This window comes from Homo sapiens, chromosome 3 (genome assembly GCF_000001405.40).
Source record: "Homo sapiens chromosome 3, GRCh38.p14 Primary Assembly".
Lineage (NCBI taxonomy): Eukaryota > Metazoa > Chordata > Mammalia > Primates > Hominidae > Homo > Homo sapiens.
In genome coordinates, this window is record NC_000003.12 from 2,759,178 (window position 1) to 2,772,220 (window position 13,043).

Below are 13,043 nucleotides of genomic sequence, written 5' to 3' on the forward strand. Positions count from 1 at the left end.
GGAGTTTTGCTCTTGTTGCCCAGGCTGGATTGCAATGGTGCGATCTCAGCTCACTGCAACCTCTGCCTCCCGGCTTCAAGCTATTCTCCTGCCTCAGCCTCCTGAGTAGCTGGGATTACAGGTGCCTGCCACCACGCCCGGCTAATTTTTGTATTTTCAGTAGAGACAGGGTTTCACCATGTTGGTCTTGAACTCCTGACCTCAGGTGATCTGCCCGCCTCGGCCTCCCAAAGTGCTGGGATTACAGCGTGAGCCACCATGCCTAGCCAGTACTTCATTTATTTTTAGGTCTAAAGAATATGCAGTTATATGGATGTAACTCCATTATATTTACCCATTCATCAGTTGATGGACGCTTGGGTTCTTTTTACTTTTTAGCTATTATGAATAATGCTGCTATGAACATTCATATACAGGTTTTTTTGCGGACACATGTATTTTCATTTCTCTTGGGTATATTCCTAGGAGTGGAGTAGCTAGTGGAGTTACTGTATGTTTAACATACAGTAACTGGGCAACAGAGGAGACTCTGTCTCAAAAAAAAAAAAAGTATGTTTAACATTTTGAGCAACTGTCAAATTATTTTCCAAATTGGCTGTATCATTTTACAGTCCTACCAACTGTATGTAAGGCTTATAATTTCTCCACATCCTCACTAGCACTTGCTATTGTTGGCTTTTTTAGTTTTAGTCAACCTACTGAGTGTGATGTGATGTCTCATGTGGTTTAGATTTGCATTTCCCACATGGCTAATGATGTTGAACATATTCCCATATGTTTATTGGCTATTGCTACATCTTTGGAGACACTTCTATTCAAATCCTTTGCTCATTTTTAATCCTTTGCCCAGTTATCTTTTCATTGTTGAATTATAATATTTCTTTGTATATTCCTCATACAAGCGCCTTGTCAAATATACGATTTGTAAATATTTTCTCTATTTACTGGGTTGTATTTTCATTTTCTTGATGGTGTCCTTTGAAGCACAGAAGTTTTAATTTTGGTAAAATCTAATTTATTTTTTTCTTTTGTTGCATGTGCTCTTGTTGTCACATCAAAGAAACCATTGCCTAATCCAAGGTGACAAAAACTTACTCCTATGTTTTCTTCTAAGAGTTTCATGGTCTTAGCTGTTAAATTTAGCTCTATCACCCATTTTGAGTTAATTTTTGTATACGTTGAAGTATTCGTTCAAAAGAATGATTTTTTTTTCAGATTCTTTCTTTTGCACGTTATCGGTTTTAATATCATCTGTTGAAAAGATGGTTCTTTCTCTCATGAATGGTCTGGACACTTTTGCCGAAAATCAGTTGACCTCAAATGTAAGGGTTTATTTCAGGGCCCTCAATTTCATTCCATTGATTTATATGTCTGTCCCTAGGCCAGTACCACACTGTGTTGACTGCTGTAGCTTTGCAGTAAGTTTTGAAATTGGGAGGCAGCTGTTAATAGTACCTTAAGATCAAAGAAATATGATGCTCACATCGCATGAGCTATGGACTCTATCCTACATTCCCTGCAAGCAAAACATACTGCCTTTGGATATGTAATATAAAATTCAATATCAATAAATTCTGGGCTGTCTGATTTAGGTAACCACACATTTGGAGCCCTGACAATCTAATCCACTGTTTCCCCAAATTTGAGGTAGAACTCATTTGTCCTTACTCCTTTTCTCAGGGTCTCAGTTCTATTGTCTGCAAACAACCACTCAAACAAGAATGTTAGTGATTTCCTAACAGCAGTCACTATTTTACAGGCCAGGCACAATCTAAATCCATAGAGAAGAAATATTTTTCTCTAGGCATGAAAATCCTAGGAGAACTGTTAAATAAGCAAGAGGACCATTTAACATTGTCCAGCTGGGCTCCATTTCTAACTTTTCCAAGACCAGTGGAGAGGTAATTGCTGTATATTTGCATAACTAAAAGGCCCACCTTGTACTCGTTTTCTAAGAACAATGGACACTGACCCAAGGTTTATTTTAAATGGGCGGTTTTTCTATCTCTACCAGAGTACTCTGTAATAAATAATTTCTCCTAAATTTTCTTAGGTCTTTCAGTCTTCCTGTTGGCCTTGTACTTGCTATTCCCTTTATCTAGGACCACAGAAAGGCTGTGACCTTCAGTAAGTTTCTATACCCCTCTGAATTTTGCTGCCTTCATCTATTGAATGGACATAATGATAGTATTTGAGAATTATTTAAGTTACATAGTATCCTTCAGAGTTGTGAGGATTAAATATGCCTGGTAAGTGTAACCTGTGTGTGTGTGTGTGTGTGTGTGTGTGTGTGTGTATTTGAACAGGTTTTCACCTAGTCACATGTAGATGTACATTAACATGTGAATGCTCTGATTTCTTATCTCTTTTGTCTGTGAGTATTCTAGTATTTATTATGCTATATGATAATTACAGGGTATAGTTTTGTCTGGCTCTCTCACTGGTCCACATACACCCTGAGAACTGAATTGGATCCATGTTTTTATATTTTACTTGGTATTAAACATTGGTACATAGTAGATGTTCAGAGGTTTCAAACACAGTTGGCAGTTGTTCTGTCTAGGATATTAGCTTCATTTTACTCTAACCAGCCATTTATCCTACATAAAATTCAAGGTCAGTAATCACCTGAGATTTCTAAGAAGGGATTATTATTAATTAATTACTGATGCTGTCAAGAACTTGTTAATTCTCCTCTATGTTTGAATAATCAAGTACCTTTGGGCAAATGTGCTGTAAAAACTTGAGTTATCCATACTCAGTATGGAGATTTCTTTTGTTTATTTTTCCTTCTTCCCATAAATATTTAATGAATACCAACTGGATAGCAAGCAATGCGTTGGACACAGGGAATGCATCAATGAACTAGACAGATATGAAGTCTACATCCAGTAGGGAAGACAGACATTGAACAAGTAACCTCAAGTGTGGTGAATGTTAGGAAGATTGAAGGTCTTGAAGGAACGAAGGGCAGAATAAGCAGTAGAAAAGCGGGAATGAAGAGCTGACCTAAAAGTAGTGTTTGTATATAAGGTAATTTTTCAACTTTTTAATTTCAGGAATACACGTGCAGGTTTGTTACATAGGTAAACTTGTGTCATGAGGGTTTGTTGTACAGATTATTTCATAGCCCAGATATTAAGCATAGTACCCATTAGTTATTTTCCTTGATCCTCTCCTTCCTCCTACCCTATGACCTCCGATAGGTCCCAGTATCTGTTGTTCCCTTCTATGTGTCGATGTGTTCTCATCATTTAGCTTCCACTTATAAGTAAGAACATGCAGTGTTTGATTTTCTGTTCCTGCGTTAGTTTGCTAAGGATAATGGCTCCATCCGTGTCTCTGCAAGGGACATGATCTCATTGTGTATGTACCACATTTTCTTTATCAGTCTATCATTGATGCGCTTTTAGGTTGATTCCGTGTCTTTGCTATTGTGAATAGTACTGCAGTGAACATACACATGTGTGTGTCTTTATAATAGAATGATTTATATTCCTTTGGGTATATACACAGTAATGGGAATGCTGGGTCGAATGACATTTCCATCTTTACATCTTTGAGGGATCGCCACACTGTCTTCCACAATGCTTGAATTAATTTACACTCCCAGCAATAGTATATAAGTCTTCATTTTTCTCTATAACCTTGCCAGCATCTGTTATTTTTTTACTTTTTAATATGGCCATTCTGACTGGTGTGAGGTGGTATCTCATTGTGGTTTTGATTTGCATTTTTCTAATGATCAGTGATGTCAAGCTTTTTTTTTTTTTTTTTTTTTTTAGACTGAGTCTCGCTGTGTCGCGCAGGCTGGAGTGCAGTGGCTCGATCTCAGCTCTCCACAAGCTCCGCCTCCCGGGTTCATGCCATTCTCCCGCCTCAGCCTCCCAAGTAGCTAGGACTACAGGCACGTGCCACCACGCCCAGCTAATTTTGTTTTTGTATTTTTAGTAGAGACGGGGTTTCACCATGTTAGCCAGGATGGTTTCGATCTCCTGACCTCGTGATCCGCCCACCTCGGCCTCCCAAAGTGCTGGGATTACAGGCGTAAGCCACCACACGCAGCTGATGTTGAGCTTTTTTATATGACTGTTGGCTGCATGTATGTCTTCATTTGAAAAGTGTCTATTCATGTCTTTTGCCCACTTTTTAAAGTGGTGGTTTTTTCTTGTAAATTTAAGTTCCTTATAGATGCTAGATATTAGACCTTAATCAGATACATAGTTTGCGAAGACTTTCTCCCATTCTGTGTGTTGTCTCTTTACTCTGTTGATAGTTTCTTTTGCTGTGCAGAAGATCTTCAGTTTAATTAAATCCCATTTGTCAATTTTTGCTTTAGTTGCAATTGCTTTTGTTGTCTTTGTAATGAAATCTTTGCCCGTGCCTATGTCCTGAATGGTATTGCCCAGGTGTTGTCTTCCAGAATTTTTATAGTTTTGGGTTTTATGTTTAAGTCTTTTATCCTTCAGTTAATTTTTGTGTATGGTATAAGAAAGGGGTCCACTTTCAATATTCTGCATATGGCTAGCCAGTTATCCCGGCACCATTTATTGAATAAGGAATCCTTTCCCCGTTGTTTGGTTTTGTCAGGTTTGTTGAAGGTGAGATCGTTGCAGGTGTGCAGTCTTATTTCTGGGTTCTCTATTCTGTTCCATTGGTCTGTGTGTCTGTTTTTGTACCAATACCATGCTGTTTTGGTTACTGTGTCCCTATAGTATAGTTTGAAGTTGGGTAGCATGATGCCTCCAGCTTTGTTATTTTGCTTAGGATTGCCTTGGCTATTCGGGCTTTTTTTTTTTGTTCCATATGAATTTTAAAATAGTATTTTAGATGTTTAAGGAGAGGTATAAAGTGGAGGGATACAAAAAAAAGAGCAAGACATTTCAAGTGAGGAGAAAACATAGACTGTAGCATTCATCCATTCAGATATTTTTCTGAGTGCCTACTCTGTGCTGGGCAGATAAACAAAGCCAGACCCAGTCCCTCATCTTAACTAGTTCATGTTCTAGTATGGAAGGAAAATGTTCATCAAGTAATCACACTAGAAATATGTGATCACCAATTGAGACAAATGCTAAGAAAATGGTAGTGGTTCTATAATGTTTGTGACAAAGGAAATTAACATAGAGAGCATTAAGAAAAACTTCACTAAGAAAATGATTGTAACTGAGATCTGAAGGATCAGTAAGGATTAAAAAGGAAATGTTTTCTAGACAGAAAATACAGAATGTACAAAGGTGCTGTGGTGGCATAGAGCATGGTATTTTCAAGGGATTCGAAGAAGACCTGCCTGTGTGGCTGGAGGGCACAGAGCAAGGCTGAATGCAGCAGAGCAGAAAGTGGTGGGAGGGAGGAAGAAAAGGGAAGAGAGTTTGTCCTGCATTTTAGCTCAAGATTTACTGAGGCCACTATGCTTAAGCGTGTCACTTTACTGACTTAAGATTAGGAAAATTCTCATATGGTCCCATTAAGCATGCTCAGTGTCTTGAAGTCTACATGGTATGCAAGACAGTAGCTTTCTGTAAGTCTAATCATCAGTTCACACATCGTCAACCATCCACCTGTAACAATAACAGGAGCTAACACTTCTCACTTGCTTTGCATGTACCAGCCATTAAATTAGGAATTCTCTTTTTTAATACTTACCTCAACACTAGACACCTGTACTCTTGATGTTCCCATTTTACGAAGGAGAGAACTCAGACATAAAAAAATTAAATAACTTGCCAAACTTCACACAGCTGGGAAGTTGAAGGGCTAGGGTATGATTCCAGGTAATTTGACTTCAGTACTTGAATTATTAATCACCACACTATACTGGCTTTCTGATATTTTTACTATGGTGAAAATGCATTTCCGTCAGAGGGAATAATTTGTTTGAGAAACTCAAAACTGAGTTTAGAATTTGATGGTAATAAAATACCCAGACTCAATTTCTAAATGCCGTACTGTCAACTAAACTCCACTTGCATCCATAGGTGAAAAGGTGAAGCCGTGTTTTGTTCTTTTGCCAGTAAGTGGCAGTGCTGAGTGTAGTACAAAGAGATAGAGGATAGGGTTTCAATATCACCACTCGTACTTGTCGTCACTGAGTTTCTGCACGGAGATGAAAGGATGAGATTGAAGATGCTAACGAAGTCAGGAAAAGCCCACTTAACCGACAGTGCTAGAGAATGGAGCTCAAGTAATGCTGATAGTGCTTTTTTTCCGGGTTAAGAAGACATTTCTCCTGGCTCCCCTTCCTAGAGTATGTCTCACATAGTTATTTTAAGAATTAGAAAACATATGTGAAGTACCTGGTCTGTAGTAAAAAGGGAAACTATTTGTTTTCCTGGGATTAGACAGCTAATCAAATACTGCTCTACTAGCCTGCTGTGTATTTTTAATTTTGCTTAATAATTTTAAATTATTAATCATCAATTAAATATGGGATAGCTATAATTAGATATTTTATATGCCTTAGAGTTTTTAATACCTGTGAATAGCTGCACATATAAGTTCCTCTGTCGTCTTTGTTTCTAGTTATAAAACAGGTGCCCTCAGAGAGCATCCTACAGATTGATAAAGCAAGTGCCACCTGGAGAAACCTAATTCCTTATTCAAGAAATCTTCATATGCCAAGAAATACATAGCAAGTAATAACCTAAAACTGATCAAAATAAATATTTAGTGACTGTTTCTTCAATGATGACACTGTACCCACACACACAGAAACTAACATTGTTGGTGCTGGAAAGGACAAATCACCAGCTTTGAAAATGTATCATGAACTTAGGGATTTGGGCAGTGGGAGAGGAACAGCCTTCCAGAATTTGATCAGCTGTCTATAGCATTTCCAAATGAATCCTACTTTATGATGGCCCTTGAGAAGGCATCCCTCATCACCACTCTTTCCAAATCAGAGTTAAAGCCCAGAGTCACAATAGGGCTTCCTTTGGGGGTTTGGTTCAAAATTTAAATATCACCTGTCTCTGCCACTCTGGTTAATGTGGCCTTCTTCAGTGACTGCCTCTCTCAATGCCCTGTGGATTTCCTTCACCTTTCTCCTGATCGCATCTATAATTTTATCTATAAGTCTACCTTTTGCTTTGTCAGTCCCACTAGAAACTCCACCAGTGCTTCACACACAGTGTTAGATACATTTTTTAGATAATCAGGCTAGTCCAAATGACCATCAGTTAGTGAGTGGATAAAGAACTGTGGTATACATATATATGATGGAATACCACTCAACCATAAAAAGAGAATGAGTTAGTGGCATTCGCAGCAACCTGGATGAGATTGGAGACGATTATTCTAAGTGAAGTCACTCAGGAATGGAAAACCAAACATCGTATATTTTCACTCATAAGTGGGAGCTAAGCTATGAGGACGCAAAGGCATAAGAATGATACAATGGAATTTTGGGACGCGGCGGGGAAAGGTGGGAAGAGGATGAGGGATAAAAGGCTACAAATTGGGTTCAGCGTATACTGCTTGGGTCATGGGTGCACCAAAATCTGACAGATCACCAGTAAAGAACTTACTCATGTAACCAAATACCCCCTGTTCCCCCAAATCCTATGGAAATAAAAAATTAAAAATTCAGGAGATGCAATAGTAGCAGAGCACAACGAAATAACAGAATTAAGGACACATTCGCCATATGTCTCTTTTATATTGAGAACACAGCAATATTAATGACCAGATGATGACCTTCAACCTAAACTGGAAGTTGTGTGACAAAGTCCATGTTGGTTTGGAAGCTAAAGGTGGAAAGTGAGATTAAATACTATAGGGCATGGAATGGTAGTGACCTGCAACTTGGAGCTGATGTAAGGACTTGATAAGTCAAAGCTCACTAGGATGCAATACTAGAAAAAATGGTCTTGGTGTATCACATGGATTAAGTGAGATTAAAAGTAGTTTTTTTATTAGATCTCAAAAAAAATATACCAGGCTAATAAGTCATTCCATGTAAAAGCGAGGGTGACAAAGAGAAGCTGGTAAGAAAGGCAACCTTGAAAGTCTTCACACTTTAGAGCTAAACATGCAAAATATATTCAGAGACAAGATGAATGTGCTTTCCTTTTGGAAGTGATATTGATCTGGGGAGAGGGGGAGGGTGATCTTCCAAAGACTTTATTTCTTTTGTTATCAAGTGATTGGTGTGAGTGCACCCTTTTGATCAGAGGTATGTAGACATGCTTGAGTAACAGCTCTCTCTCTCCTCTTATTGAACTGCTTTTTGTGATTGATTTTTAAAATAAACGAATTGTTTGCTTCAGCTAATCAGGGACTAGTTAGTGTATCCTGAAAAAGGAAGTTTATATAAGTGCTCTTTATTACCTTTACTGAGTGAGTGGGCTTTTTTGTTTTTGTTTTTGTTTTTGTTTTTTAAATTTTCAGTTAGTTGCCCCATTGACAGACAATAGAGATAACAGTGAGTCCATGGAATACCTCATGGTGGAAAATGCACAGCCGATTAGAAAAATGTTCTACTTGAGCGTACCAAACTAATCCCAAACAGTGAATTCTGATCCCCTTTCTGTCTCAGATTTTCTCTATGATCACGTCTTACGATAATAAGAAGCAAAGTCTCTAATGGAAGTTCATCAGTGGCAACAACTGTGGCTAACCTGACAACCCAGCACCTAGTACAGTGCTCACAGGCAGCTGGTGTTCAATAAAAGCTTCTTACATAGCTCACCTTCTCAGTATTTTTGTGTTTTTTTCCTTTAAGTGGTTAGAAGGCAGAATTTAAAATATTGTCACATAGCAGTGGGCGTGTAAGGTCATCTGCTGTTTGCCAACCAAATGGTGAGGCTAGAAAACATTTGCATATAAATGTTACATTTGGTTGAGGCTTTTAAATTACAGAAATGTAGGTAAAATGGTCAGAGTGGCAGTTAGAGATGAACAAATGTTTTACATCTGTGGAGCCTTCATATTTATTGCTTTGAGTGTCATTGCCATTTCCTGCTGGAAATTAAACATCACAAATGTATCCTTCATTTGACCAGGTGGCCTCGATGCTTCTGAAATGAATGGCGAATCCGGTAATATAAATTGTAATCACATCACAAGCATCTTCCTCTTAACCTTGGTAATGATGTGAAATAGTGCATTTTAAGCTTGTTTTGAAGGTTAAGCAGGAAATCTTATCTTGGATAATTAATATTTCAACAAAAATCAATGTGGCTACAGTTAGCAGGTAGGTAATCTGACTAATTGGCTCAATATTAAATTTGTTAACTACAAATTGTCTTTCAGCTGAAATTGTATTGGTAGAAACAAGGAAATTGGTGAAGTATTTACTAGATTTGTAGCACAGTCTTGTTCAGCTTGCTGTAGAGAGCTTGTGATTTAAACATGGTGGACCAATGGGAGCTCATTCTCCAGCCACCTCCACAGCAGTCCTGATGACTTCCCCTATCTACTTTATAATGGCACTTAGGCTGAGGCAGGAACATTTCCTCAGGAAATTGTCACCGTGTCCACAGAAAGTGGGTTGGTCCTCTGTGTCTACTGCTTCACTTTCTCCTTAATAATCCAAGCCAGCACTTTATGCCTTGAAAAAAATAACTAATAGTTAAGTTGTCTATATCGTTTTCCTTTTTAGAAAGTACTTTCAAATCTGTTTTATCTTTTAGTCTTTACAAAGGCCTGTGAGGTATGATTTATCATCATCACCATCCCCATCTTACACATGTAGAATGTGAAGCTCAGAAATAGGAAGTGACTTCCTCAAGTTCGTGATCCCATTAAGGGACAGATCCGAGGATCAAAACCCAGACTTTTGACTTCAAGTCTTGAAGTCTTTTCATTGTACCATATCTTCATTTAAAATGGGGTCCACCCTGAAGCCAAAGAAACACATCCTTACTAGTAGGTATCTGACATTTGTCTTATTTTGTGAAAAAGATATTTTGGGAGCACACCTTCAAATGCTGGTTCCCAAAACTTACCTATACTGAAATTTCCACCAGTCTACGCAAATATGCACTACATTATTAAAATAAGGTGGCCAGGCACGGTGGCTCACACGTGTAATCCCAGCACTTTGGGAGGCCGAGGCGGGCAGATCATGAGGTCAGGAGTTCAAGACCAGCCTGGCCAATATGGTGAAACCCCATCTCTACTAAAAATACAAAAACAATTAGTCGGGCGTGGTGGCGCACACCTGTAGTCCTAGCTATCCTGGTGGCTGAGGCAGAAGAATCACTTGAACCCGGGAGGCAGAGGTTGCCATGAGCCGAGATTGTGCCACTGCACTCCAGCCTGGGCAACAGAGTGAGACTCTGTCTCAAAAAAAAAAAAAACAGAAACAAAACAAAAGGCAGTGTTTAGTCAATTAAAGGACAGTTTTTCTGTTGATACTATCTTTCTGTAATTTTTCACGTTGAAAAGTTCTGTCTTTTATGTATTGATGATGGTAGAAAATTGTGGTGGTACTGGTGGTAACTTTTAGTATCCATAGTTAGAAACACCTATGTTGGTTTCACACACATCTCATATTTCCCCTTAAAATTCTATTGCTCCATTAAATCCAACACTCTGTAAACCAGGATTTTAAAAAACAACATACAGATGATAGAATGGGTGGCAAGTAAAAATGCTTCTTGCCTGCAGCACAGGCCCTTAGAAATCATCAGCGGAGCCAAGGGTCTACAACAAGCAGATCAAAAATAGCAGCAAGACAGGCTAACTATCTTCAGGAATCAATGCCAGCCTCTTATGGCATTCCCTAGAGGCCATCTCTTGGGCCTTGGCACCTGTGCTAGTTTCATGGTTAGATTAGTTATGTCCTGTTGCTGAAGAACAAGGAGTGACTTCTCTTCCATCTCTCTCTGTCTCTTTTTGTTTGTTTGTTTGTTTGTTTTTTTTTTTTGAGACGAAGTGTCACTCTCTTGCCCAAGCTGGAGTGCAATGGCGTGATCTCAGCTCACTGCAACCTCCAACTCCCTGGTTCAAGCAATTCTACTGCCTCAGCCTCCCGAGTAGCTGGGACTACAGGCACGCGTCATCATGCCCGGCTAACGTTTGTATTTTTAGTAGAGACGGGGTTTCACTATGTTGGCCAAGCTGGTCTTGAACTCCTGACCTCGTGATCCGCCTGCCTCAGCCTCCCAAAGTGCTGGGATTACAGGCGTGAGCCACCGTTTCCGGCCCTCTTCCATCTCTTTCTATTTAGCTTTGGAGGAAAATGTTAGAGATTTAAAACCATTTGCTATAAGGCAGTATTGCCTTTTGCACACACAAACCTTCCCTGGTGGGGGAGGGCCAAGGGCCCTCAGCTTCCTTCATCCCAAGAGAGGAAGTGCATTGTTATAAAATCCCTCATCAGTCTGGCTCTACCAAAGAAAAGGTATCATAAAAGCTTCAGATCTCTGCAAAATAGTGTCTCTTTTTCTACAGATCTTTCTTGCCTGGCTTCTACACATGCATCACTGCACTGACCCGTAAGGATTAAGGAAAGTAAACAAACAGAAACTATCCAGGGCTAGAGATAATCAGTGGACCAGGCTGAGCAAAGGAATGTAAATCTAAGTGTCATGTGGCTAAGAACTGCTGTTTGAAAAGCTGACGCAGTGGGAATAGCAAGAGTTGACAGGCAATGCTTAGTGTATGGTGAGATGCTCAGTGTGAGACCAGTTACCATTTGAGGCATAGCTCAGGGGCTCTGCTACCAAGCATGGCAGATAACTCCCAGAAACACACACAATGCATATCCAGGTGATAGTAACAATGTGTTTTACTGTGTTTTCCTCATTTTTTGGTTTGCTTTTCTATTAAAAATTCAGAGAGGGGTGCATATGTGCTTGAAAAATACTGTTTCCCCTTCACTGGTAGTGTCTAGCATCCCTGAGTGGTCTGAAATGGAAAGAGCAACATGGAGCCTCATGCATCTTCACAGAGATTTGTTTCCAAAGTCAGCACTTAAAGCAAAATGACTGTCATTAAAGTTACCCTCAGAATTCTCTTAAGTTGGAAGTATACATACCCATGGGAGATAGGCATGCCACCTCTCCCCCGAGGATGGAACAGACAAGTAATTGTTTCTTTGGTTGAAAAGCAGGTGAAGAATTAACTTAAGTTTAGAGCCACATTGCATGAGAAGTGGGTATCTTTAAATACTCTACAACATGGGAAGGTACTCTCTCTATGTGAAGCCAGTGAAAATTGAAACTGAAAAATAAAAGAGATTTGGGTCCCTCATCTCTAATGCAGTGTTGGAAACTGATCAAGCAAGCCACATGGTGGGCAGAATTACCCACACTATTTACATGGCTACCTCTTCTCTCTCACACATATCACTCCAATATGTGACCTCTGGCAAATCATTCTACCTCTCTGAGTCTCAGTTTCATTCTCTGTATAATGGGGATGATGTGAGTATCAATGGCCATTTTAAGGACCAATTGAGACAAAGTATGTTGACATATTTTCTTCCAATTATGTAAATGTCTTATATAAAATAAGGCATGCTTTATTGAAAGAAGATAATAGAAAAAGATCTAAAGAAAAAAATCTGAAAGGAGTAAAAATAAATAAGGAAGATCTTGTACTTTAGTGGAAGAGAAAGACATACAGTATTAATTCCAGGATATTATGTGGTAAATGAAAAGACAGCAGTGTGCACAGTATGTAATGAAAACATGGAGAAGCAATATGTAATCCGTCCTGGGGTACACAGTAGGCTCCCCAAGAGAGACAGTGACTGAGCAGAGTCTTGACAGATGGTTGATAGTTAAAGAGGCCAAGAGAGCTGGCAGGGTGTTTCATGCGACAAGAACAGCAAAGCCTGAATCTTCATGGATATGCACGGGACATGGAAACATTCCATGTTTCAAGGTTGTCAAATATGAACTGGAGAGTGGGAGGCTACAAGGGGAGAGAGAGAGAGCTAAGGCGGGGAGATGATGGAGGACCTTGTTTGACATGGTAATGAGCTTTAGCTAATCTTTTGGTGGCTGACGATCTCAAAGGGTTTTAAGCCAGCAGAGTGGTATAACCAGGTTTGCATTTTAGAACTTGATTACTGTGGCTTCATTTTGGAATGG

At 39.3% G+C, this 13,043-nt stretch overlaps 1 protein-coding gene across 37 annotated transcripts in view, besides 2 other annotated features; it reads left to right on the forward strand.

The window, feature by feature from the left end:
* CNTN4 (contactin 4) overlaps positions 1–13,043 on the forward strand; it is a 959,094-nt gene that overhangs the window by 660,312 nt on the left and 285,739 nt on the right. The gene's annotated exons all lie outside the window — the stretch shown is intronic.
* Positions 5,836–6,388: an enhancer, noted in NCBI's record as "OCT4-NANOG hESC enhancer chr3:2806697-2807249 (GRCh37/hg19 assembly coordinates)". NCBI's record gives its function as "activates a minimal SCP1, AML or CMV promoter by ChIP-STARR-seq in naive H9 embryonic stem cells {active_cell/tissue: H9 hESC(naive)}" and the evidence as "EXISTENCE:reporter gene assay evidence [ECO:0000049][PMID:30033119]".
* Positions 11,301–11,824: an enhancer, noted in NCBI's record as "NANOG hESC enhancer chr3:2812162-2812685 (GRCh37/hg19 assembly coordinates)". NCBI's record gives its function as "activates a minimal SCP1, AML or CMV promoter by ChIP-STARR-seq in primed H9 embryonic stem cells {active_cell/tissue: H9 hESC(primed)}" and the evidence as "EXISTENCE:reporter gene assay evidence [ECO:0000049][PMID:30033119]".